Source organism: Homo sapiens, chromosome 2 (genome assembly GCF_000001405.40).
Source record: "Homo sapiens chromosome 2, GRCh38.p14 Primary Assembly".
Lineage (NCBI taxonomy): Eukaryota > Metazoa > Chordata > Mammalia > Primates > Hominidae > Homo > Homo sapiens.
In genome coordinates this window covers 49,593,723-49,621,108 of record NC_000002.12, presented here as the reverse complement: position 1 = coordinate 49,621,108, position 27,386 = coordinate 49,593,723, and the positions used below count along the sequence as shown (strand labels likewise).

Here is a 27,386-nt window from a genome sequence, read left to right as displayed (position 1 = left end):
AACTGAATGCCCAGGGAGAAACCCCCTGCAATTAGCAACAGGACTTTGTGATGATTAGATACAATGCTTTCAAAGAGTTCAGAACATGTGTTATCAGAGATTTATGACATACCTCCTACCCTTGCTGAAATTCCTCCCATAGCACAAAAGACATTAGATACAAGTTTGATCCTTCTTAGTGAACTCACTTTAAAATTACATTTGTAAAGTATTTTTAAAGTTTCAGATTTCTCTTAAATGATTTTATTCAATTCTCACAACATTCTATAAAGTAGCCAAGACAATTGCAAGCATCCCCTTTTCATAGATGAAGATGTGTAGGCCCATCTTTATATAGCTTCTGAGTAGCAGAGCCAAGAATAGAATCCAAGCTCCAGGTTTCCAATTCAATTCTTACTTCCCTAGGCCATATTGTTCTCATCACTAACTACTCTTTTTCTCTTACTACCTTTCCCAACTCACTGGAAGGGGCTTGAAAGGATTGAAGTGTCAATAGACTCAAGATCAGAGAGCTGCCTTTTAAAATAAAGCTTTAGTGACAACATAGTTACCCAAAGTATATTTGCATTAGTTCAGATGATTCTCAATAAAAATTATTCTTCCTTTTCCAATTGCTGGTGTATCAATAAATATGTATTGTCTGTAAACTTTGTTAACAGCCCTGTGCTAAGGGCTAGGAGAGACTGCAAAAGAGAAAAGGCATGGTTACTGTTGTCACAGGGTTTACACTGAGAAGGCAGAAAAAGTGGAATCTATAGAATTGTAGAGAACCACTATTTTTTTTTTAAAAAAGAAATGCATTCTGATTATGAGAGCAATGGTAGTTCAAAGAATGGAATGAGTAGCAATGGGACCTGAACTGAGCTTGAAGAACTAAAGTAAGGGGAAAGTAGGAAAGTAGGAAAACAAGTTTTAGTTTTTTTTTTGCTTTAAGTTGAGGAACACCTTTAACAAAGATCTGAATGAGGAAATATGTACAAGCAACTGTCAGGAGGTTCCGGCAGCTTTCAGATTCTGAGAAACCGGATCCTTATATCCATCTTCCCAACTTTTGATGGATGACAAGGCCTCAACCTACACCCCTGGAAAAATTTGCCACTGTTGCCAGTAGGTGGAGTCTGCAATCCCTCAGTTTTGAATGTTAGTTCAAATGACCAGACTGCTTCTTCACTAGTGCTACCTAGAATACTTAAGCCTCTCTCCTGTCTCTATCCATACACATTATTGGAGGGAATAAAATGGCTTTACATATAATGCAGTGGCGTACCACTTTGCCAGAGAACATAAATGTGAATCTTAAGTAAAATGTTTGTTATACCTACATTATTACATAAAAATTCTGGGTACCGTCATACTTTAGTAGATTTATCATGTTTGTCTCTTTTTTTTCTTTTTCCGAACACATGAGAAGATTATTCATTATCTTTTTCTTGAAATCGGACAGGGTCATTCTGGCCAATGTGTTATAGGTAGAATTGGCATGAGTGACAATTCTCACTTTCAGATAAGAGCACTTATTAATAATTACTCCCACAAGACCCTCAGATATTCTTCTTCATCCGTGACCCAATACTGGCAAAATTCAGCCTAACTCCTAGAATGAGGATGATATGAAGCTGAGCATTCTACCTCTGTGTTGTTGACAGTGTGAATGAGAAATTAACGTTTTTTGCTTAAACCACTAAAATGTTGCAGTTGGCTTATTTTGCAGCATAACCTAGCCAGTTCTGAATGATACCCCAGTTATACATTTCTTTGAACAAATAGGTGGAATAGATTCAATTTACTTCAACCCAATGTATGGTTCTCACCAACCCCTCCTGTTTTCCTTAAGGTTCTCAACTTGCATGTTCATTCTAGTTATGATGAGTATGCATTGTTTCCAGGCCCCTCTACAACTTGGAAGCTGTTTTGATAAATAATTCTTGTGGAGAAGAGAATTATGTTGTCAAAGAAATCAGGAAGCTGGAAAGCTGGGCCTAGAACCAGAGAGTCTGGACACACATACCTCTGTGGATCCCCTAAGTGACTGTACATTGTCCTATATTTCTAGATCAAAGGAAGTGATTTCTCCTTCCACTTTTAGGAATGACTCGGTAATTTCTACCCCTGCCCCCACCCCCAACCTCCTGTTTCCCCCAGTAAATTATAAAACCTTATCTTGTTAGAATATTCCTTAGAGGAAGTTAAGATACAAATCTAACTTTTCTAAATGGGCCAATATATGTAGGCTGGAGAAGGGAATACGTTAAACTTTTTACATTTGTTCTTCCTGCTTCTTCAAGGCACACTTCTTTTCTCTTTCCCTTAAAGTTCTAGCTGCTTCTGCTCGTTAGATGCCATTTTCATTATTAGAGCACACTTTGTTGCCATAGCAATTCTTCCCCACTCTCACATTTTATTGCACTTATAGTTGCCACAGGCAAAAGAGAAGGGATGGGGGGTGGGAGGAAGCATGATTTTATTTTCTCTCAAGTAGCCAGGTTTTCTTCTAATCTGAGAACATTTTAACTCCACCCAAAAGGGAGCAGTCTTACAACCAGAAATAGCATCAGAGGTGTATTGCATGGAAAGACAGATTGCTGCTGTCTAGGCTGTGACTAGTACAGCGCAAGGTGCTTTCCTGGATCTGGGTGGATTGATATCATTTATGTATTAATATTTCTGTAATTACATATTCTGTGTTAACTTGTAGGCTTTCACATTTATATTAACAGAAAAAAATACGAAGTAGGACTTCTATCATTGATAAAGGTCAAAGAAGAAGCAGAAATGGAAAGATTCTACCAAAGTGCCTTCCAAGGGTCACCAAGGACAGAGCCTCATGGTAACCATGAACCCCAAGGCTGTAATAATAATAATACTTCACGTGGGCATAGTACCTTGGCGCTTTTAATGTACTTTTACATGTGTTGCCTAATTTTTAATTTGTAGTTGTTAAACGGTACACCCTCTTTGAAGGATTCTCCATTGACTATAATTCATCCTGTCTTCATCTGTTTTGTCAGTTTTTTGATGAATATTTTTTTTTGTCTCCTACTGACTTAATATTGAACAGACAGCATCTTAAACTATCTAATTCTGCTACTATTTCACATGCATCAGCTTTATCCTACCAGACAGAACTTGCTATATGGGAATCCATTTCTTTTCTTTTTTTTTTTTTTTAGTTTTTAAATTTTTTTTGGAGGCGGAGTCTTATTCTGTTGCCCAGGCTGGAGTGCAGTGGTGCGATCTTGGATCACCACAACCTCTGCCTCCTGGGTTCAAGTGATTCTCCTGCCTCAGCCTCCCGAGTAGCTGGGACTACAGGCGCATGCCACCATGCCCTACTAATTGTTGTATTTTTAGTAGAGACGGGGTTTCACTGTGTTGGCCAGGCTGGTCTCGAACTCCTGACCTCATGATCCGCCCACCTCGGCCTCCCAAAGTGTTGGGATTACAGACCTGAGCCGCTGCACCTGGCCAGAAATCCATTTCTTAGATAACTTTCGTGACACATGTGGGAATCACCTTAATGAGAGGCATTCTGTAAATTTTGCAGGCTGATTGAGATTCATATTTTCAGCCATTATTGTGACTATACATTATATACTTAGAAATTCAAAATTACCTATTACAAGCCAATGACTGGTTACATGTAAATTAAAAAGTACAATTAAGTTTTTCTCTCTCAGCATGATATTAAACATAATCAAATTTTATAAATACTTCTTAAATATTTTTGCAGGAGGAAAAATCTGCTACTTTCAACTGTAATTTTGAAATGTTCAAATATGTATAGACAAGCTGCTGTATTTTATATAAATGAATGTATTCATAGAACAAACTTTAAATTTCAGAAAACAACACAGATTGCAGGAGTTTAAATTTCTGTTCATATTCCAATAGAAATGAGTAATGTGACCATTTTGGGAATAGTGGCAAATTATTGAGGAGGAGTGCGTTTCTACACTTGCCTAAGATTGCTATTTTGTGGAGAAGCATTTGTGGTCTGGTGACTCAAGACTGGGAGAAGTAGGTAGCTACCAATTCTCCATTCTAAATTCGGCTTTCTTTGCTCCATCTGTCCTGGACTCATGTTGAGATCTTGTCTAGGTAACACTACCCTCTACTGGTGGAAGCAGAATTCCTCCTCAGTTCTTTAATCCAACAGCAATGTGTTGTAGAATTTAGACTATTAGAGACTTTGGGGATTATTTTACAGGTGAGGAAACTGAGGCCCACAAAGCACAACAGTCAGGGATATGACTTGATAATTTATGTCAGAAATCAGTAAAAGAACTCTGCTTTTCTTACTCTTAGTTGGCTATTTTTTTCCCCAAAAAATTACGGAGTAGAACTGAAGTTCCAAAAACAACATAAACTCTAAATGTAATACCTGAAGCTATAGGAACGTTTGTTAAGAACTAAACATTTATTTCTGCAAGAATTATTTGTGCTATTTAAATCTAGGTCAGGTGAATTACTCAAGATTTATCATAGACCTTTGCATTATCTTTAAAACTAGTCAAATACACTGCTTTTTCTTCTTTTTGAAATGTTTTGCCATTTGTTGCTTTAGCAAGACCGTGCCTTCAAATGGAATTTTGTCCTATGAGTCTTTGGGAATTTAGTAGATGAGCACATTTTAAGGACAGGGTTTTTCCAGAGGACCTTAGTTGGTATCCTTTCTTCTTGCACATTTTCATGATGTCATTATGTGTTTAGCTCTATCAACATAGGGTTGGCCATATGAATAGATAGAGAAGGCAGCCATTTACATGAGAAAAGGGAAATTTGAGCAATAAAAATACCACATGACCTAAATTACAGTAACTTTGTACATCTTCTTAATTCAATATCTATCAATCTCCCCTCTCTAGCACACAGTTAAGGAATCTAGATGTAGGAAATAAAGATAACAAAAATTTGTAGCCCTAGTGCCCTCAATTAATGCCTATATTCTCTTATTTTACATAAATCCTGTAAAATTGGTTCAAAATATATGAAAACAGCAAATTATGGAGTAGGAATACATGTTAGTGGTAGAAGATCTGTTTCAGGAATGTGCACACATTCCAGTATAACACAATAGTTGATTGCCTGACAGAAAAGAGGAGACAAAAGGAATAGGTGCAACTGAAAGTATTGTAGTCCATGCTTCTTTGGAAGGGATCAAAATTCATACATATTTTAGGAAAGTCTAATAGTTTGTTTTATAGTAATGACCTAAAATAGTTGAAAAATGGTTAGTGTCCCATTTAACTGAACTTACAGTGAAAGACAGCTCCATATTTTTTCTCTTATTTGTATTTCTATTCAAAAATAACTAAAATTAATAGGAACTTTACTAATTTATCCTCAGCTATTCAGAAAATTCAACTATGCAGAAGAAGCTATAAACTTAAGAGAAGTTGTTAGTTCTTTGGGATAGTCATAGTCAAGTGGACAATTGCTTTATACAAGCCATTCAACAAAAATATATTGAGTGCCTAGTCTACTATGTGCCAGGCAATGTTCTAGTCCCTAGAGAAGCTGTAGGTATCAAAATAGATTCACATCCTGGTTCTTCTTGATTTTAAATTTTAGTAGAGGAAGGCAAACGATAAACAATATAAATACATCAATATATACAGAATGTGAGATGGTAAAAAATTCGTGGAGAGAATATAAAATAGGAAATAGGGATATCAAGTGCCAGTGAGGGTAAAAAGAAGTCGAAACTGTAAACAGGTTAATGAGGAGAGGTCTCCCCTAGAAGTGGTATGAGGAGCAAGACCCTAAAGGAAGTGAGGAGGCAAGCCATGCAGGTGTCTGAAGAAAGACTTTATCATAACTTACACCTTTACATTGTCATTAAATGCAATCTTTCAGTAATCTCAATTTTAGTCACTCTACATTTGACCACTATTGCTTGTATTTGCAGTTCTCTCTTTGTGCTTCTTGACTCCAATAGTCCTTGAACCTGATGTTGATTATACATTGATCCCACATTCTTTTCACTGACTTCCAAGCCTTTTTAGGTCCTCACCTCCCTTTAAATTCCATAATGAATCATTATCACCACTCCCTAACATTAACACTCCATTGTCTCTTCTTGACTTTTATATTTAGTAAAACCTTAACTCCAGAGAAATCCGTATCATCTTGTACTTTGTGCCTATAGCCTATCTCTTTAAATTAAGAACCACTAACCTCGACTGGGCCCATGATGTTGCCCAGAAGTCATACTTTCATGTTCTAGTCCATTTCCTCTTCCACAGAACCAAATGAATATTCCATTCTCTTTTCCATCTCATTTTAACTCCAATTCACTGTCATTTTTATGCCATTCTTCCAACTTCACCAAGAAAATAATATAAATTAGAAGAAAAGTTTGACAAGCCCCCACCATCACACTCAATAGCTACTAGCATCACTTCAGCCTCCTATTCTATTATGATGGATGACATGTTTGTGCTGCCATCTAACACCAACCCCTCCTTTGCCCCATCTTGTCAGATTTTGCCAATCCAAAGGCACTGCAGCAACCCTCTCCAGCAATCTTTCTCCTGTATTGTCATTTTTTTTTCTCTCTCTCTACTGAATCCTCTTTATCATCTTGCAAACAAACCTGCTCTTGAGCCTAGGTCTCCACCAGCTCGTTTGCTATGTCGCAAAACTCCTCAAAAGAGTTGCTATACTTATTGCATCTGATTTCTCTTATTCCCATTCTTTAAAACAAACAAACAAAAAAAAACTTTAATTAGACTTCCACTCTTACTAGCTTCCTAAAACAGCTTTTTCAAGGTCACCAACAATCTTTATTTTGCTAAATCCAGTGATTAGCTCCCAGTCTTCATCTAGGTGGACTTCTGTATACAGCTTGATTCAGTTTGCATTGTCTATTAATTCTTCCTTTTATTGCCTGTCATCTGGTAGGTCCTAAAGGGACATTAACGGAAATTCACTGAGGTGAGAGCCCTGAATCTGTGGAGTATTATAGTAAAAATTACATTCATATAGTACTTTAATATTCAAATAATTTATATATTATATACTTTAATCTTTACAACAATCACAGGTGAAAACTATGTTTAGATGAACTACCTTAAGAAAAGAAAGGAGACAAAGGTATAATTAGATACACGTATGTAGCTTCTTAGAAGCAGAAGCATGTCTATGCTGGACAGAGCATACTGGATAATGGGGGTTGAGTAGAGGTGTGTAGTACAGGGTGCTAGAGAGGGAATCTTGCCAAAGAGAGAAGAGGACATGAAAAAAAAAGTTAATTTTGTCCTATTTGTCATTTTACTTCCAGACTGTTTTAAAGTATAAGACATGCTAATATGAAAAGTTTAAAGTAATAGGGAAGAATCTTTGAGGTTGATTATAGGAATGAAAATAAAAAGCTGTTGAACTCTGCCCTTACTCCTAATGAGAAATCACCAAATAGGCTCTAAATTCCACCTATTGCTCCCTCTTTGCAAATACCCATTGATTAAAAAAAAAAAAAAGGTATGAGGACATTAGAGTTTAGTGCCCAACATTTTTTACCCTGAATCTCTAATATTGCAAGAGGATCTGGAAGTCACTAGAGTTCTTTGCAGAGACTGACTTAAGAAGGTTGCCACTATCAATATTTCTAGAGTTAGTCTTTGGGCACAAGGAAATCTAGGTAATAATTATGGGAATATAAATAGTTGCCTGGTTACTATCCCCAGTCCCTGTCTCACACACACTTACCCCAGCCCCCTGCCAAATCAAATTCATAAACAGATGATCTATAGCTCTTGTATGGCAACAGTTGCCATTTGTTGGAGCTAGTAAAACATTCCCAGAGCATCCTTCCATGAAGATTTAACTTTTGTCTTTCTTTGATCTGAAGCTGATAGAGGACAACACCTAGACAAATTAATAATAAAGAGATCCCATTACTGTCATTTACTTCCACACATATAAGGATAAAAAGACCATCCTCACATGAAATTGTAATGCTGATTACTTTTATCTGCTCACTTTAAATCCAATCACTTATCACATTTCATCAAATACATGGATGATTCCAGTTTCATAAATTAAGACAACACAATTCAGTGTCTTGACACTGCATTTGCTATCAATTATGGTAGCCATAATCTCAAGTATTAAAGGAGAATTGGTGTGTCTAACAAAATACTGCTCAAGGAACTGTGCTGCTTTTACATAGTGTTTTAATGTTTTAAATTTATTTTATACTATACACCTAAATGAATTCTAAAAGAATCAATGATGTAGGTGTTGTGCCCACTCTGGCCTCTGCCTCTTGCTCATTTTATTTTATTTTAATTTTTTTGAGATGGCGTCTCATTCTGTCACCCAGGAATGCAGTGGCACAATCTTGGCTCACTGCAACCTCCGCCTTTTGGGTTGAAGCAATTTGCCTGCTTCAGCCTCCTGAGCAGCTTGGATTATAGATGCCCACCACCAAGCCCAGCAAATTTTTGTATTTTTAGTAGATACGGGGTTTCACCACGTTGGCCAGGTGTGAGCCACCATGCCCAGCCGATTGCACACTATTTTAAATCTTAGTTTATCAACCTTTATATGATCTGCAATTCTGATATGTCCTCAGTCTAGTTTTGTTTTGTGTTCAAAGACTTGTTTAAATAGAGATATACAACCCATCAGAGGTATTGGTGTCTAAACTCAGGAGCGCCTTTAAGCTAGTTTCTTCTCTGAGCCTGGGTTTCCTCATATATAAGATAATGATAACAGCTACCTCCATGGAATATTGTGGGAACTCAATAAGATAATGTGAGCCAGAGCGATTGCACCCATATTGGGGGAACCCGGCCCCAATATTTCAACGTAGGTTCTTTCTATTTTCCATAAGTGTCGGCTGGCTGAGAAATAAAGAGTGACAGTACAAAGAGAGGAATTTTACAGCTGGGCCACCGGGGGTGACATCACATATCGGTAGGACCATGATGCGCTCCTGAGTCTCAGACCAGCAAGTTTTTTTTAAGGGTTTCAAAAGGGGAGGGGGTGTAAGAACAGAGAGTAGGTACAAAGATCACACGCTTCAAAGAGCAAAAAGCAGAACCACTAATAAGGGTCTAACAAAGATCTCATGCTTCTGAGGGAACAAGACAAAGGACAAAAGCAGAACTACTGATAAGGGTTCAACAAAGATCACAGGGCAAAGGGCAAAAGCAGAACCACTGATAAGGGTCTGTGTTCAGCAGTGCACGTATTGTCTTGATAAACATCTTAAAAGGAAACAGGGTTCAAGAGCAGAGAACTGGTCTGACTGCAAATGTACCAGGGCGGAGTTTTTCCAACCCTAGTAAGCCTGAGGGTTCTGCAGGAGACCAGGGCATATCTCAGTCCTTATCTCAACTGCACAAGACAGACATTCCCAGAGGGGCCGTTTACAGACCTCCCCCCAGGAACGCATTCCTTTCCCAGGGTATTAATATTAATATTCCTTGCTAGGAAAAGAATTTAACAATATCTTTCCTACTTGCACGTCTGTTTATAGGCTCTCTGAAAGAAGAAAAATGTGGCTCTTTTTGTCTGACCCTGCAGGCTGTCAGACCTTATGGTTGTCTTCCCTTGTTCCATAAAAATCCCTGTCATTCTGTTCTTTTTCAAGGTGCACTGATTTCATATTGTTCAAACACACATGTTTTACAATCAGTTTCTACAGTTAACACAATTATCACAGTGGTCCTGAGGCGACGTACATCCTCAGTTTACGAAGATAACAGGATTAAGAGATTAAAGACAGGCATAAGAAATTATAAAAGTATTATTTGGGAACTGATAAATGTCCATATTAAAATGAAATCTTCACAATTTATGTTCTTCTGCTGTGGCTCCAGCTGGTCAGTCCGTTCGGGGTCCCTGACTTCCCGTAACACACCTTGTCCTCCCTTTCCCTTGCCTCGGGATACCCCAGAAGTGCCCATGTAAGAATCAAGAATGTGTTTTACTCACAGAAGAATCTTTCCTTATGTTTTCTTTTATACTCCCCTTTTTCCACAGAAATCATCGTAATAGAAATGGAAATAATACAAGACAACCTACAATCTCCTTACTCACAACATATACTTATTCGTTCAATATATTTTGATAAAGCATCTGTTATGTGCCAGGCATTGTTATAGGTTTTAGAACTATAGCAGTAAATGAAACAGACAAGAATTCTAGCCCTCAAATAACTTAAATATGAATAGCTTTTATATTTTTTGTTTCTTTCAATTCTCCTCTATATACAGAAAATAATGTATACATGCAGTAACAGTATTCATGCTTTCTATTCTGCTTCTTTCATTTAATATTGGATTTTACAGTGTCCACATTGTTAAACTTTATAAATTTATATGTCATATAATATATCATATATGTTATAATTATAAATTTTATGTCAATATAATATTTCATACACAGTAATTTATTCATTTCTCTTATATTGGAAATTTAGTCCCAGCCCCACACCCTGCTGTGATGAATATCCCTTTGTGTTTACATTTTTTTCCTCCTGATTTCCTTTGTATAAATACATCAAGGTGGGATAATTGGTTCAAATTATAACAATATGATATTGATTGAATCATTTAAGTACAAGTTAAGAAAAAAAGTCCAACTCATTCAATTAGCAGGTTTTCTGTACACATTTTTAATGGTGGCTTCTGCCAGCTCTAACTTTACTATGTCCTTATGACTCATAATTTCAGAGAAAGAGACAGAAGAGAGTGAGAGGGAGAGAAAAAAACACACCCTTGAGCCAATCAGTGTGGATCATGTGCATATACAGGGAACGGGAGGGTCAACTCTATCCAAGTAACATGGACTGAACAAAATTTTTCTGGGTTAATTCTCCAAAGAGATGATGGACTCACCAAAATGTATACAGTTCCATTATAAATATTTATATAAATGTTTACAAAAGTTGGTAATTATTTAATTTTATTTATTTTTTTTGAGACGGTCTGTCTGTGTCACCCAGGCTGGAGTGCAGTGTTGCAATCTTGGCTCACTGCAACCTCTGCCTCCCAGGTTCAAGCTATTCTCCTGCCTCAGCCTTCCAAGGAGCTGGGACTACAGGTGTCTGCTACCATGCCCAGCTAATTTTTGTATTTTTGGTAGAGACGGGTTTCACTATGTTGGCCAGGCTGGTTTTGAACTCCAGACCTTGTGATCTGCCTGTCTCAGCCTCCCAACATGCTGGGATACAGGTGTGAGCGACCACTCCCAGCCAATAATTATTTATTAAACACGTATTGTTTGCTCTGAAAAATATAAAGCAAAGGGAAACTTGCCCTGAATCTTCAGTGGTCCATGATTCAGTCTGAAAGTTGTACATGTACATTCTTGCCCTAGAAGGAATATCTCTTAAGAGAATCTGAGGTTTAAAATTACAAAGTAACGTGAGTAGACCACATAGGTGAAATACAATGGAGCTTGTTCTAGTACTGAGTGTTATGGCACTTTGCATTTGATCTCATTCTAGACCTGAAGTCTTCTTCACACACAAAGCAATGAGGAAAGGATAGGAGATGATAAATAATTTAGTACTCAAATTTGTGAAACATACATAGACTGTTATAGGAATTCAAACTATATTCAGTTACAACAGGCAGGAACACAGAGACAAATTTTTGCCACAAGTCTCTTGAAAACAAAAATGATGGGATTTCTAAAGTAGAGGGTGTGTGACAAAAGATAATCAGGATTGGCAGAGTGGGTCCAGGTTGGGCAAAGGCCACAAATATGAAGTGCATGAATTTGAACGTGATGTTCTCAGTGGTGGCAGGTCATTGTCATTTCTTCAACAGGAGGATGGTACAAAGAAAACGGTATTATATAATCAGCAAAAAGCAATATTGTCTTGCTCTAGGGAAGCTGAGGGACCTGGAAACAGATTTTCGTTTTACTGAGCTTTTACAGTTGTTATTAAACCCCAAAACTTTCTGTTTCTCAGAGCATGAAGAATATTAAGAAAACTAAAGCAGGATCAAGCCCAATGCACTGATGAAGAATATCCTAAATGAAACATGCTATGTCATCTCAACACGTTTGACCCTCACATGACAAAAAATCAGCACTGATGATCCCCAGGAAGAGGGGTGGCAGCACTTTATGATAGGAAAGATTCTTTCTGCTCCCAGACTTTCCTAATGCAGCCCTCCATTCCAGGTAATTAGATTTCTAATCATTAAATGAGGCAGCATTAACAATCCCTTGACATTTCAGCCCAAAGACCGGAGTACAGATGAGAAGATTTTACTTTTTTGCATATCTTTTCCTTCTCTTTAAATTGAAGGTTATTAAAACTGACCCACTGGACAGGCCTAAGAATGCATCTAGTTCTCCTTGGAGGACTTGGGTGTGGTAGTAATTAGACACCATTCAGGCTATTGGTCTCCAGTTGGTAGACTGAAAAAATAGACTCAAACAAACTTAAAAGGTTTTGAGGACAGGACTTCTTCACTTTATATTTGCTTTCCTTCAACCTAACTATGGGATACTGCCTGTACTGGTGTATGTGCTCAATAAGCATTTGAATAGTAAATGAATGAACCACATATAACAGTTGCTTATTAAACATTTGGTAATTGCCTTTTTACCGGTTTACAAGTTTTCTGTCTCTGAATGTTCGTGACTAGAAGTCAGTAAGACAGAACAGTGGCTTTTCCCTCCACAGTAAGAAGAGCTGTGGAAAAGAAGAGGAAGAGAGAGATGAAAGAAGTGTTAACCTCACTGTAGAGAAATGTGCCAAATGGACCTTTGTTATCCTTAGTTATTGAAAAGCCTGCTGTCAATTGTAATAATAGTTTTCAAAGCTGTAAACAGAATAAAGAGATAAGTTGAAGATGCCATTGTTTGGTCAGTTGTCCCATTTTTAAAGCTTAGCATAGTAGCTAGCACATAGGAGACATTCATGCATATTTGTAAAATGAATGAAATATGGTCCCTTCCTTCAGAAATTTTATAGCAAGGGAGACAAAATGCCAGGGAATTGTGAAAACTTAGAAATCTTATATAGCTTGCTACTCAATTAATGGTCAACTCATCCACAGTTAATTAGCAATGAATTTATCTACTGAGCCATTTCCCAGAATAGATGCTTCTGTGTCAAAAGGAAATCCCGAGAAAATCAGAAGATCAAATATTGCAGTTTGTCGGATAAATAATACATATACTTGTGAAATAATGAGAGAATAAAAACATAAATGAAAAAGTTCCCCAATTGAAACCTTTCATTTTTAGATAATTGCCCTGAAACACACAATAAAAGCTTGGGAAAAGGCATCAAATCTGTGAGATATACATAGCTAGTTATAGCCTTAGTAGCTCTCATTTTGAAAAAATTATTTTGCAAGTGTAGCTCACTACTAAGATATCCTGAGTATCCAAACCAGATGGCCTAAGGTTTACTACCTCAAATATACAGCCCACATATCCACTGAATTGTATAAGGGGCTGACTGGGGATGTTAGATAACAACCCAAGAAACATAAACGCCCTTGAAGTCAGAGAAAATTGTATAAAAATATGTAGCCGTCCACAGATTTAAAATGTTTAAAACACCTTAAAAATGTAACACATGCAAAATAAATATAAGAAATTTAAAATTGGCTTTGGATTAACATGTTATAATGCAGAAGTAGTAGATGGATCCCTTGATATCTGAATAATCAAGATCCCAGGCAGGATTTATAATTTAGGAGAGCTAATACACAGAGCTATATAAGCTGGTCCAACACTAAGAATTCAGCAGAGCTGTATCAGTGTCTTCCTGTAGAGACTTGTAATTTTTTTCTGTCTGATTTTAGGACAGAAGAGTACATAGATAGGTGAATCAGAGATTTATATTTATAGTTCTATTTCTATTTGATACCAAAGCTTGCATCAGAACAAAATCAAACATTTAAAAAGGGAATTTTCATTTTATATTCTTAGTGCTCAACACTTAAAAATCTTCTGCATAATATTGTCCCATGTTCTTTGTATTTTGCCTTACCAATTAATAGCAATTTAATTGGTATTCATTCAATAATACTGAATTCATTCAACAGACATTTATTGAGTTCCTACTATGTGCCAGATGCTGTGCTAGGCTCTGAACATGTATAACAATGACTGAGATAGGACCCATGCCCTGTTGGAATTCACAGCTTTCAAAGATTCATTTAGTTTAATTTCGTTATCAGTAGTGATCGGAAAAATGGCTAGTTGTTTAAGAGCAAATTCCTTGGAGAGGTTGGTGTGGACACTGAATATGGAGAAAAGTGTAGAAAATTAAACTAGAAAAAGTATTAGGCATGTTCTTGTTAATGTAATTTCAATGGAGAGATAAATTTGAGTTTGAAATTGGGGTATGTAAAATGAGAAATGATCATTATATTTTAAAATAAGACCTTGATAGACATAGAGAGGATGGATTGGAAGACAGACTGAAGACAGAGAGATTATCAGGGAAAACTTTGAAATCTTTAAGGGATATTGAAACTTTGGGACTAAGACTGCATAAATATGAGAATAGAAAAGAATATTCTCGAGCATTTTTAAGGCAGACTTGACAAAAATCTTATTAATCAGTATGGAATTAGGAAATCAGATGTGTATGGATTATGATTAAAGCAAGAAGAGTTGTTGACACAGTTTAAATAGAAACATAAGAAAATAAAAGGCCAATGGCTGACTTTAGGGAAAGCTCAAAATTTAAGAGACCAAGAAGAGAAAAAGAAACGACTGAAGAATCTGCAAGAGAACTATGCTTTATTATAGGTGAACACAGTGAAAGCAAGTATAAGCAATGAAGCTCAAGAATTACTTATTACGTAAAACTGGAACTCCAAACAGTCCACTCTAACCTTGTAATTTTCAAGATCAGGAAAAGGACTTGCCCAGTGAATTTGCTCATGAAGTGGCAGAGCTAAGGCTTGAGCCCCATGTTGTGATTTCATAGTCAATTTTTTACTTCTATTATACATGTTCCTTAATATTTAAACATTAAAGTTGGCCGGGTGTGGTGGCTCATGCCTGTAATCCCAGCACTTTGGGAGGCCGAGGCGGGTGGATAACGAGGTCAGGAGATAGAGACCATCCTTGCTAACACTGTGAAACACTGTCTCTACTAAAAATATAAAAAGTTAGCTGGGCGTGGTGGGATGCGCCTGTAGTCCCAGCTACTCGGGAGGCTGAGGGAGGAGAATCGCTGGAACCCGGGAGGCAGAGGTTGCAGTGAGCTGAGATCGCGCCACTGCCCTCCAGCCTGGGCGACAGAGTGAGACTCCTTCTCAAAAAAAAAAAAAAAACAAAACGAAAAAACATTAAAGTTAACTTGCTATTATAACTTTCCCTCTCTCTTCTGCCTTATTTGTGTCTTCTGGAAATAAAATTTTAATTTAATAATATATTTTCTTTCTTGATATACTCGGATTCAGCCTTGATCTGAGATTTTAAAAACTTGAGTTCAAAATATGTCCCTGAGCACGTTCCTAAATATCTATGCAGCTTAATTCACCAGTTGCAAAATTAATGGTTGATCTAAATGATCTTTAGTATTCATTTGTATCTATGGTATCTTAGCTACCTATTCAGATATTTGATGAGCAACCATCACTAGGTGTGTCCCAATCTGTGTGGAGACAGATTAAGGAACAATATTCCACAGGCAAATTAGAAGCATCTCCAAGACTTTTCCAACTCTGGAGGCCCATGGTGTATATTTTAGAAACATTCATCCTTAGACTGCAGCTGGGGAAGTCTGGGGCTTTTGCTGATGATAGTAATGTCTTATCATATGGTTCTGACAGCATATAACATAGGTTATTTTGCCATGTCTGCTGTTTTGCTATTTTTGTGTCTTTGGGGAAAATAATTGACCAAATTAGACTTCCTGCATATTCTTAAACATTCATGATAAAGCTCGGAGCTGCAACACTGTTCCAATTTCTTATTCATAGCTTGTTATTTTAAAAGATGTTGCATTTTGCAGAGACATTATACAGTGCATATCTTGCCTGAAAGGGAAAGAAAATTAGCCCACCTATATCTAACAGATAGAGTTGTCAAAAAGCACAGCAAATTCCCTTTTCCCACTTTCTCGACTACCTAGGCCATCTCCAAATGTACACTTTGTTTCATGACAATTGAGGGGATAAAAAAGCAGGTTAAAAAAAAATCCCTGGAAGGGCTGTTGTGGTAAAGAGGGATTTTAATGACATTTTGACATTTTTTGGATGAGTGCTTTGATAGAACAAACTGAGGAAATGCTCAGCATATGGGAAGCTTTCACTATTCATATATGAAGTACCTGTAACTATAATTTCTGTTAATTGTATGTAATATAGAGAAAATAATACATTTAAAAAATTTTAATATGTAACACATTTTTGAGTGTCATAATCCCCAATTTTGGGAGTCCTAAATTAAATATATAAATCTGGACATAGCGAGTATCTGTTTCATTAAAATTGGTTGAAATAGACTAAATAAATGAAAAATTGACATTAAAAAATACATTAGAATAAGATAACCAAGTAAAAAGGCAGAGTTTCTTTCCCTGGAGATGTTAAAAATTGGAATGAGTGCCCATCTGTACAGAATTATTTAGATACTCTCTTTCCTGAAGGCTAGCAGAACTATTTGACCTCCAGCAGTTCATTTCAACATTCAAAGCTTATGATTGCCTATTACTCTATTGTTTTCTCATTTAAAAGCTGGCTTAACATTCTCTCAGGAACACAGGCTTTATATGTAAAGGTTTTTGTTTGGACTTGGAGTGGAGATTGAAATAGAATATTTTGCAATATGGGAGACAGGGCAGTGTTTCTGAAGTGTGAGGGCACAGTGATTAGGAAGAGCTGATGTCCTAGCAGTTTGCACTTCTCATGCCTAATTTGATAAATGGTAATGAGCATCTGCTAATCTCCAGTGTAATGAGAACCTATTTGTAGTGCTTACAACCTGAAAAAACTGTGTGTGTGTGTGTGTGTGTGTGTGTGTTTGTTAGGGTACAGGAGAAATTTTCACTCTTGCATCATGAGCACTCACCCATGTGCATGCACGCACACACATACACACCTTAAACCCTAAAAAATAATTACTTAATCAATTGCAGGGTCAAATTTATTTTATCCAAATTTAGTAGAGGATCTTAATGATGCTAATAACTTCCAATCTGATAATGCGTTATTAGCTCTCCTTCCCACACAGCGCTTCTCCTCTAGCCAATTCTAGATGTAGCCATTGGCAGGTGGTGCCCTTTGCTGGCTGATGTTGTCTGGCTAAAGACCCTGCTGTCCAGGTGCTGTATTCTAGGCTTGGCCGCCAAAATATCAGGGGTGTGGGTTAAACAACATGCACTGTTGACAAAAGTGGCCTCCTAGCAGCCAAATCTCCTCTCTATTCCTGTATTACCTGAGGGAAAGCCATGACTTAACATCTCCAAATAGTTTCAGTAATGGGGGGTACAATGGCTGGTTTGAGCCAGCTGCCTTGAGAGAGAGGCAATTATCTTGGCTGGGATTAAGTAGCTACAGGTGTCAACACCTGCTGCATAGTTAAAGGCTGTCTACATGACCGCTGTTTACTCTCATCTTGAAACAGGTCATTTGGTGCTTGAGTCAATGGAAACAAAGTCTTTGGCCTTAATTTGTTTCTCCTAACAGGCAAGCAAAATAAAAGCAGAATGAAAACACAATCCCCTTGGCTTACTCAGAGAAGGGACAAACGTGAAAATTCGGAGTTCACATTACAATAACTCTTATTTTGAAAAACAAATTGGAGTTTACATTTCCAAGATTGTAAAATTACAAATGTTTTACAATTTAGTATTCTGAAAGAGATGTACCCATGGCCTTTCCTTTTTCATTGTGGCTATTGTTGTATTTTTTATACTTGTGATCAAATTAATATGAAAGCTTCTAGTAACAAGTATTTGGTGCCCCTCAATGCATATCTAGTTTTTGCTCACCAGTTTGTTGGAGCTTATTACAAAACCCAAATCTTCTTGGTTCACATTTTCCAGAGCTTAGCTCAGGATTCTTATATTCTGAGAATTGTCTTCCATGAACGTTTCTTACTGTACATTCTCATAGTACTTTCCTATGTCTACAATTTCCTGTATTGCCACCTGATCCACAGACCAGCAGTGTCTACATCAGCTGGGATAATTAGACATGCAGGCTCTTGTAACCATCCCTGACCTATTGGATCAGAATCTACAAATTCCCAACATTTTTATGTGCATTAAATTTTGAGAAGTACTGATACAACACATTTCAATTACACAATGCAGTTAATTATGTATATGTCTGGCTTCCCCAGGGAATGAAAATTCCTTGAGGTCAGGTCTTTGTTCAATTAGAGCTACCAGCCTGGTAGCCTGCTCCTCATATCAATGTTCTTAAGACATCTTTCCTGTAAACTCAGTCCTGCCCTGGGCTGTGGACCACATCTTGTGCATATATATCAAATTTCCCTGCTCTGCCTTTATTCCACCAGTTTAAAAGTTCAAGTTTTTTTTTTTTTTTCTCATTTCTGAAGTGAAGTATCTACAGCCTTTCTCAGTTTGGTAACTGGATATCTACATTTTATCACTGGGCATAATTATTTCCTGAAAATGTGCCTAGTGCTCCAGTGCTTCTGAAAAGTAGGCTCTGCTTTATGCTTTGATTACAAACTGCTGGAGGATAGACTCTGGTCTCATTCCAATCTCTTTTCACAATGTGAGTATAGCCATAATGGTGTACCAAAAGGCCCTTGATCAATGATTTTTTGTAAGCTATACTGTCAATTAGATGCAGCTGCTTTACAAACTGTGTTATCTCTTTTAGGCCTATAGTATTTGGTAAGTAATTGTCCCAATGCATGAAATTTGTCCTACCAACTTGAAAGAATGAATACTTCCCCCAAGCACATCTAATTTATCCAGGTAAAGTATAACTCACCCAACAGATTTAGCTCCTTATGTTGCCGTTGAATTTAGACTCATTTGGCAGAACTGAAAATCTCCAACTCTGTGCAAACTGATACTTGAAGCTCTTTGCTCTGCTGGTATGCTTTCTCATAATTTTGGAAGGGGCTTGTGTGTGTGCGTGTGTGTGTGCACACACGTGCTATCTTTCCTGGCCCTATCTCTGTCCTGTTTTCAAATGGAAATTGTGAAAGGACTAAGGATAGAAGAAGCAACATCAATTTATGCTTATTAGAAGTAACCTATTATATTTTTATTGATATGTACCTGCATATTTCAAAACATCTGCTGGCATTTTCCATTGGCTTGAGTAGCCCCATGCAAATAGAGAGACTAGGGTGTTTTCTGACTGTGCCTCTACCATGGACCATTGGAGGAATGAGAGTGGAGTTGAGAGTAGATGTATACATATACCTGCAAAGAGAGAGAGAGAGAGTAAGAGAGAGAAGGGAGGAAGAGAGCAAGCACAATAATAAGCACAGATAAGCAAACATTTAGATAAGATGAGAGGTACACAAACCTTTGGTTCAGGTAAGTGTCTAGCTCTGTTACTAACTATGGGAACAAGCATTTTTTTAAAACTCTCTGCATTTTTAAGAAGCGTTACGTAACATAGAAGAACCTCAATTTTCTCATCCATAAAATGGAAATAATATACCTAACTTTGCTTATAGCCACTATACACTTGTGCAGGCTGTGCACTGCACAAAGTACCTGCTGAGGGGTTTTTGTGGACTGAAATCCAGCCTGCTGTATATTCACCAAGACATGCATCCAGGCACAAGTCTTTCTCTGCCTGGAGTTAAAAAAAAAAAAGCGTTTCTGAAAATCACAAAGGTACCATATAGGCTAGCTCATAAAATGGCCTTGCTCATACAATTTCTTGTGGGTATTAAAAAAGATGGTTTGTAGAACTATGGCAGACTGCTTGGCGTTCACTAAATGTTTTGTCACTTCTCTGGTCCTTGTTTTGCTTCTCTCTAAATGTAGATTTTATTCTCATTATTTAACTTTCTCCCCCAGGCTACAATGAAGGCTGTCTATTCTTCCTGGGCTCACATCTTCCTAACTCTGCCCTCAGGTAAATAACCTCTCATCTCAGTTTTAATTTGAAAAAATCTTTGGAAAAGCAGGTCTAATAGACCTGACTAGAGTCACAAGCCCAGAATGATGGAGCCACTCTCATTATCAATTCTGAGCATAATCACGTGAGAAGCAGGAAGAAGTACAGAACTCAAAGAAAAGGCAATCATCTGTTTTTCCCCAGCAAATGTATGATATGTGGGAGAGATTAAAAACAAATATTTCCACCACAATTCTTAAAAGTATTGAGCACTTGCGGTATGTGGAGACTCCCAATAATCCCAATGAAGTACACAGAGACAGAGGAGGCGAAAAATTAGTTGAAGGCATAGAGAACAAGATTTGAGAATCACTACATCGAGATGAGTCAGCAAATACAAAATAAAAATTGCAATGCTAAGTAGTGTTGTCCTTAATGGAGGTCATTTCTTCTTTTTGGGTCCCAGTTTTCTCATCTGAAAAATGAAGTGCCTGAATCAGACCATTATTATTAGGTTCCCTTTTACTCTGATGTCTATGACTCCTCCATCCATTCATCAGTCATTCCATGTCTCCATCCATCAATCCATTTCCCTAATACTGTTAGGTGCTTGAGATACTTAGATCCTAAGTCAGCAAGTGTTTATTGAGGGCCTACGAAACATAAGGCAGTATTTTTCGGTACGGTGATATATGCAGAAAATAAATGATAGTCTTTCTCTTCAAGTCGTTTCCAGTCTAGTTGGAGAAGGCTAAGTATACAGTATATGAAAAGCAAGAATTATGTAACAGACAACAATGCAACAGAACCAAGAAAAATTGGTGAACACTTGTCAAAGTCTGGTGAAGAAAATTTGGACTTCAGCATGAGTATGGTGATATAGCAAAAGGACACAAAGATGGCTCCATGGAAGAGAAGGGGTTTTACTTCCTCTGGAGACTGAGAGAAGGCCATCACCGGCTGAGCAGAGAGGTCAGGTACGCACCTTCTGTACTGGAGAAAAGGCTCGAATTTCTCATCCTTTTTAATACTAACATGGAATTGTTTAGGTTTGTGGTCTTTTTCTTCAGTGTTTCAATGTTTTCGTTGAGTACATGTTGTGTAAAATTAGAAATGCTGACATATACTGTAACTATGTATGTCAGAAAGAGAAGTTACCTGAAAACATTTGAGGTAAATACTAATTGCATTCATCTGCTAATTAGCACGTTCTTTGTCACTGACTATATCACCAGATTGGATTTCCCACTGGGAAATAGAAGTAAAAAAAAGTCGAGAAATTAGAATGCTAGTTGCTATGAAGATGTTAGAGACAAAAGTGTATGAGAAATGTTGCTGTCAGGCTAAGGTTTGAAAGTGGGTGGCCGGTAAGGAATTAAACACACATATGTCTATATGAATAGTGATTACTACCTTTTAGTTTAAACAATGTTGATTCTAATTGTCTTCAGAGCCACTTGGAACTAATAGCTCATTAGAAATCAATTGATACCTGAATGAAGGTGCACAGTGAGCAGAGGAACAAGCTGGAGAAGGACTGTGATTACTTTGCAGGCTGTAATCATGGGGACAGAGAAAAGCCAAGTTTTCAAACCAACGTTCTAAATATGGTTGTGCTAAAATTAAAAGCACAAGTTTAAAAGTTGTCAGACACAGTAAGGTATAGTTCAAAGCTCTATAGGATTTGTCTTGGAATTTAGTGTCACAAACTGACATAGTTCCATAAAATGCACTGTAATAATCATACCAAGTAGAGGCTGGTAAATTTGGATGGGAATGAATTTGCTATTTTTTGTCACATAATCAATAAAAAGGGATACAACATGCAAAGAATATATCTGGCATGGTCACCTACAATGAATGTTTAGGGATTTTGCTTTTGTTATTTATCACAATGTGTTTTTTAGTCCTTGTTTAAAATTTCAATCACTTAATTTTTTTCATTCTATTTATTCTTTTCTGAGATTATCATCACAGAACAAAGCACGTAGTTTCCTTTGTGTATTAAGGATTGATTTACTTCATTTCTAGTCATAATTGTTAAAGTAGACCATCAAGTAATTGTGTACACTGGTGATACAGAGATGGATAAGGTGTGTCCTTTGCCTTTATGGTCTTACATTCCAATGGGTCAGAGAATGCATCATTATAAGACTGTGCAGTATTTCTGTAAGAAGGTATTACAGAGAGTATAGGTTATTGGAAAAGTAAGAGAGAAAGAAAGAAGTGGGGATAGAGGAAAGGAAAAACTGATCAACTAAACTGGGCTAATCTCAGCATCAGGATTGAAGAATGAGAACATGATAGTAGGAAATCTATGAGCAACATGCCTCTCAAAACTAAACATATCTGCCACAACATGGTGTAGCATACAATCTAGACAACACAGTTCTTGGGTGCCATAGGACCCAAGCTATGTCTCTGAGAACCTAAACAATCTTTATCAACAAACTCTGTTCCTTCATAACTAAAATATCTCTGCTTCTGAGTGTAGCTGGCATGATACATCAAAGGGCATAATTTATTTCAGTAGTTTGTCAGAGCAGCTTTCTTATCAGGTGATTCTTGAGATTTCTTTTTCGGACCCTAGAATTAGCCTGCTTTTATCCAGGAACTGTCCTACTGCATGAGGCTTATTGTGGGCAAGGCTGTGCTGAAGCTGCCAAATTGACTTCCTGTTCTCTGAACTCTGTCACCAGAAATAGAAAGATGATATTGTACATTATCTCTGTGCTAAACTTGCTATTCATTACCCCTTGTCCATGTGAGCACTCCAATCAATGGGCCTTGCCCCACCAAAAGCAAAAAACATTTAGTGCCAAGCAATTGAAAATACATTGTTTAAATTTATTAAGCCAAATTACATAGCATTTAGATATAAATATGCCCAAGAAAAAAGTGTAGACTCAAAATTATACTTTAGAGCTTTACATTCATAGCCGATTTTTTTCCACCATAGTTACCTACTTTTTTTCATAAGCCATTATCTCTAGGCAAATTGGCTTATCTATTTTTATATTTTCTCTTGTCATACTTTGTTCATGCAGCACAATCCACCTAGAATTATTTCCTATCTTCTCTACTACCAATGTACATTCTGGCTGTTCTTGTAGACCCAGCTAAGATCTCTCTTTCCCCACAAGAGTATATAGTATCTTTTTTGACTTTGAGAGTTTCTTGTCAATTTAGACATGCATTGCCTTCCTCTTTTCTTCCCATTGTTATCCTAAATTATTTTACTCTTTTGCTGTAGCGTAATTTTTTACTAGTTTATATTTAGTTTTCCTGATAAGTTTAAAAAGTTTTTTGAGGGCATATATCCTATTTTAGATTTCTGTATATTTCTACATTGCCAAGTATTTTAGTCTGTTTTGTGCTGCTATAACAGAATACTCCAGACTGAGTAAATTATAACAAACAGAAATTTATTAGCTCATGGTCCTGGAAGCTGGGAAGTCCAAGATCAAGGAGTTGACATTTGGTGAAACCTTTCTTGCTGCATCATCCCAGGGTAGAAGGGCAAGGAGAAAGAGAGAAAGAGCAAGAGATCAAACTTTCAGGCTGAAGCTCTTTTATTATCAGCATTTTTCTATTCATGAAGGTGGAACTCTTATGACCTAAATGCTTCCCACTAGACCTCACCTCCCTACACTGTTTCATTGGTGATTAAGTTTTTAACATACACTTTCTGAGGGGACACATTTAAACCATTTTGCCAAGCTTAGGTCATAGGTCAAAACATCAATAAATATTGTTTACAGTGTTTTTATTATTTAAAATTTTATCTGATTTTCTATAATTTGATAAAGAAGTTTGATCAAGCAAAACTTGGAAACTTTAAACTGATAGTCATCAATTATTTTCATGGTTTTTACAATGTCTTAATAGAATATTTTAAGAATTTGAGGCAAGATAATTCTTTCTAATTACTACTTATAAATTGCATGCCTTATGTATTGTTTAAATAATATTTGCATATTATATGCCTTACAGAGTTCCCGTTCCAGCTAAGACGGAGTTAACACAAGCCCCTTTTCACTTCCACTGAACTCAACTATAAAACCAGGAAAGAATTCACGGCCTAGCTATTTGAGAACTTGAAAAGCAAATAGCAACAAGTGGATCAGAGAAAAACGCCAGAATTTGGAGCATCATTGAACTAGTGGTGAGTTTATCTTTTTTTTCTTCCAGGTCTCTCCCAGCCTAAAATTCAACAAAGCCTGAAACCTGGAATTGAGCATTGTAGTGCAGGCAGAGAGAAAGGTAGAGAGTACTGCATGTATGAGCTTGAAAGGGAATTTCTAAAACTCAAAAAGAATGAGGGTAAATCCTTTGACTTTCTTTCTCTTCTTTTTCTATGCTTTCTCATTCTTCAGTCACCAGGAAATCCCATGGTGAAGAGATCAGTGACATTGACATCAGTCAGCAATGGAGGCCTGTTGGAGCCAAAGCTCTGAATGTAGAAAACATTCATCTCCATGTAGTGGATCTGTTGCGTCAATATAATGTATCCAAACTCAATTGCCTTTCTTTCTCACTTTTGATCCTCCAACTAATTAGCCCCAGGCATGGTAGAATTATGAAAGTAGGTGGTTTCTAGCTGGACAATCAAAAAGAAGCACGAGAAAAATTACTGGGGCTGCCATGGAGAGCAAGAGGGAAAGTGACACCATAAATTTGTTTATAAAACTTTGGGCTCATCCCCAAACTGCACATACATAAATCTAATTCTATTTAGCATAAAAATGTTTAGAAATGAGAAGATGGGTCCCAGACTTACCACTAAGTAGTACACACATGGGACAGATCTGAATAATAGTGTAAATACATGAAAAATTAAACTCATATTGGGACTGATGGCCATAGAAGGCTAAAACTAAATACCAACTTTTTCTGTAGGATTTAAACAAGACTCAGAGTCTCTTGATATAATATTCAAAATATTCCAGCATATAAAGAAATGTGAGACAATCAACTTGCATCAGAAGAGACAATCAACAGATACCGAGGATTAGATGACTGAGTTGTTGGTGTTACTTAACAAGGATTTTAAATGAGTTGCTATAAAAATTATCAAGTGAACTATCATGAATACTCTTGAAACAAATATATTTAATACAACATGGCAGTAATATTAGATTAAAAACTAAGTTCATGCTTAAAGTACCATATTCATAAGGCTTTTGTTTTTCAAAGTAGTTTCATCTTTTAAGAACTTAGATATATTTCACAAACCATAAATGTCATCATTTTAAGGTGTACAAGTCAGTAGCTTTTAGTATATTCACAAGGTTGCAAAATGACTCTCTAATTCCAAAATACCTTTATCAACGTAAAGGAAAACCCTATGACTGTTAATAGTCCATTCCAATTCTTGGGTTCATTTTTCTTTGCCAAAATTTGCTTTATTTTTATTTTTTGCCAGTTTATAAACTGTCCTTATTGGACTATATGAGATTAATGTGAAATAATAATCAATAGTGAAAGATTACTGTATCTTTTTTCTTTTTGTTCCAAGATAGAGTCTCGCTCTGTTGCCCAGGCTGGAGTGCAGTGGCGTGATCTTGGCTCATTGCAATCTCTGACTCCTGGGTTCAAGCAAATCTTCTGCCTCAATCTCTGAGTAGCAGGGACTACAGGCGCATGCCACCATAGCCAGCTAATTTTTTGTATTTCTAGTAGAGATGGGGTTTCACTCTACTAGTAGAGATGGGGTTTCACTAGGTTGGCCAGGCTGGTCTCGAACTCTGACCTCAGGTGGTCCACCCGCCTCAGGCTCCCAAACTGCTGGGAATACAGGTGTGAGCCACCACGCCTAGCCTACTGTATCATTTTTATGACCATGGATTACTACTCCATTGTGATATGACATAAGTTCTTCTATTATTAGATATTTTGCTCTTAAATAACAAGGTAGGTGAGTCCATAGAGAGGTGTATTAGTTTGTTTTCACACACTATAAAAAAACTACGTGAGACCAGGTAATTTATGAAGAAAAAAGGTTTAATTGACTCACAGTTCTGCAAGCTTAACCAGAAGCAAGACTTGGAGGCCTTGGGAAACTTACAATCATCGCAGAAGGCAAAGGGGAATCAAGGCACATCGTCTCATGGTGGAGGAGGAGAGAGAGAGGTAGCAGGGGGGAAGTGCCACATGCATTTTTAACAACCAGATTTCATGAGAACTTATTCACTATCATGAGATGAACATAGGGGAAATCCACCCCATGATCCAGTCACCTCCCACAGGTCTCTCCTCCAACACTAAGGATCACAACTCGAGATGAGAATTGGATGGGGGGGGGGACACAGAGCCAAACGTTATCAGTCTGCCCTTGGCCCCTCCCAAATCTCATGTCCTTCTCACATTTCAAAACACATCATGCCTTCCCAACAGTCCCCGAAAGTCTTAACTCATTCCAGCATTAACCCAAAGGTCTAAGTCCAAAGACTCATCTGAGACAAGGCAAGTCCCTTCTTCCTATGAGCCTGTAAAATCAAAAATAACTTAGTTACTTCCAAGATACAATGGATGTACAGTCGTTGCGTAAATGCTCCCATTCCAAATGGGAGAAATTGGCCAAAACAAAGGGGCTACATGCCCCATGCAAGTCTGAAACCCCGTAGGACAGTCGTTAATCTTAAAGTTCCAAAATAATCTACTTTGACTCCATCTCTCACATACAGGGCATGCCGATGCAAAGGGTGGGCTCCCAAGGCCTTGGGTCCCTGTGTCTCTGCTGGGTAAAGCCCCGTTGGCTACTTTCACAGGCTGGTGTTTAGTGACTGCGACTTTTCCAGGTGCGTGGAGCAAGCTTTTGGTGGATCTACCATTCTGGAATCTGGAGGACAGTGGCCCTCTTCTTACAGCTCCACTAGACAGTGCCCCAGTGGGGACTCTGTGTGGGGGCTCCAAACCTACAATTCCCCTCTGTGCTTCCCTAGTAGAGATTCTCCATGAGGGCTCTGTTCCTGGAGCAGACTTCTGCCTGGACATCTAGCCACTTCCACGCATCCTCTGAAATTTAGGCAGAGTTTCCCAAACCTCAACTCTTGCCTTCTGAGCACCTGCAGGCCCAACACCAGATGGAAGTTGCCAAGGCTTTGGGCTTGCACCCTCTGAATCCATGGCCCACGCTGTACTTTGGCCCCTTTTAGCCTCGGCTGGAGTCGGAGTGGCTGGAATGCTGAACACAAAGTCCTGAGGCTGCACAGAGCAATAGGGCACCGGGCCTGGCCCATGAAACCATTTTTCCCTCCAGGCCTCTGAGCCTGTGATAGGAGGGGCTGCTGTAAAGGTCCCTGAAATGCCCTGGAGACATTTTCCCCATTGTCTTGGCTATTAATATTTGGCTCTTCTTATGCATATTTCTGCAACAGGCTTAAATTT

At 37.6% G+C, this 27,386-nt stretch overlaps 1 protein-coding gene across 2 annotated transcripts in view; it reads right to left on the bottom strand.

The window, feature by feature from the left end:
• The window catches only part of LOC124906005 (uncharacterized), a 95,669-nt gene that overhangs the window by 37,948 nt on the left and 30,335 nt on the right, over positions 1-27,386 (bottom strand). Inside the window, exon 2 of one of the 2 annotated variants that reach the window (XM_047446571.1) lies at positions 19,202-19,348. The exons of the other annotated variant lie outside the window; for it this stretch is intronic. Within the exon in view, the coding sequence (XP_047302527.1) occupies positions 19,202-19,348 (147 nt within the window). The remainder of the gene's footprint in view (positions 1-19,201; positions 19,349-27,386) is intronic. 2 annotated transcript variants of the gene reach the window in all.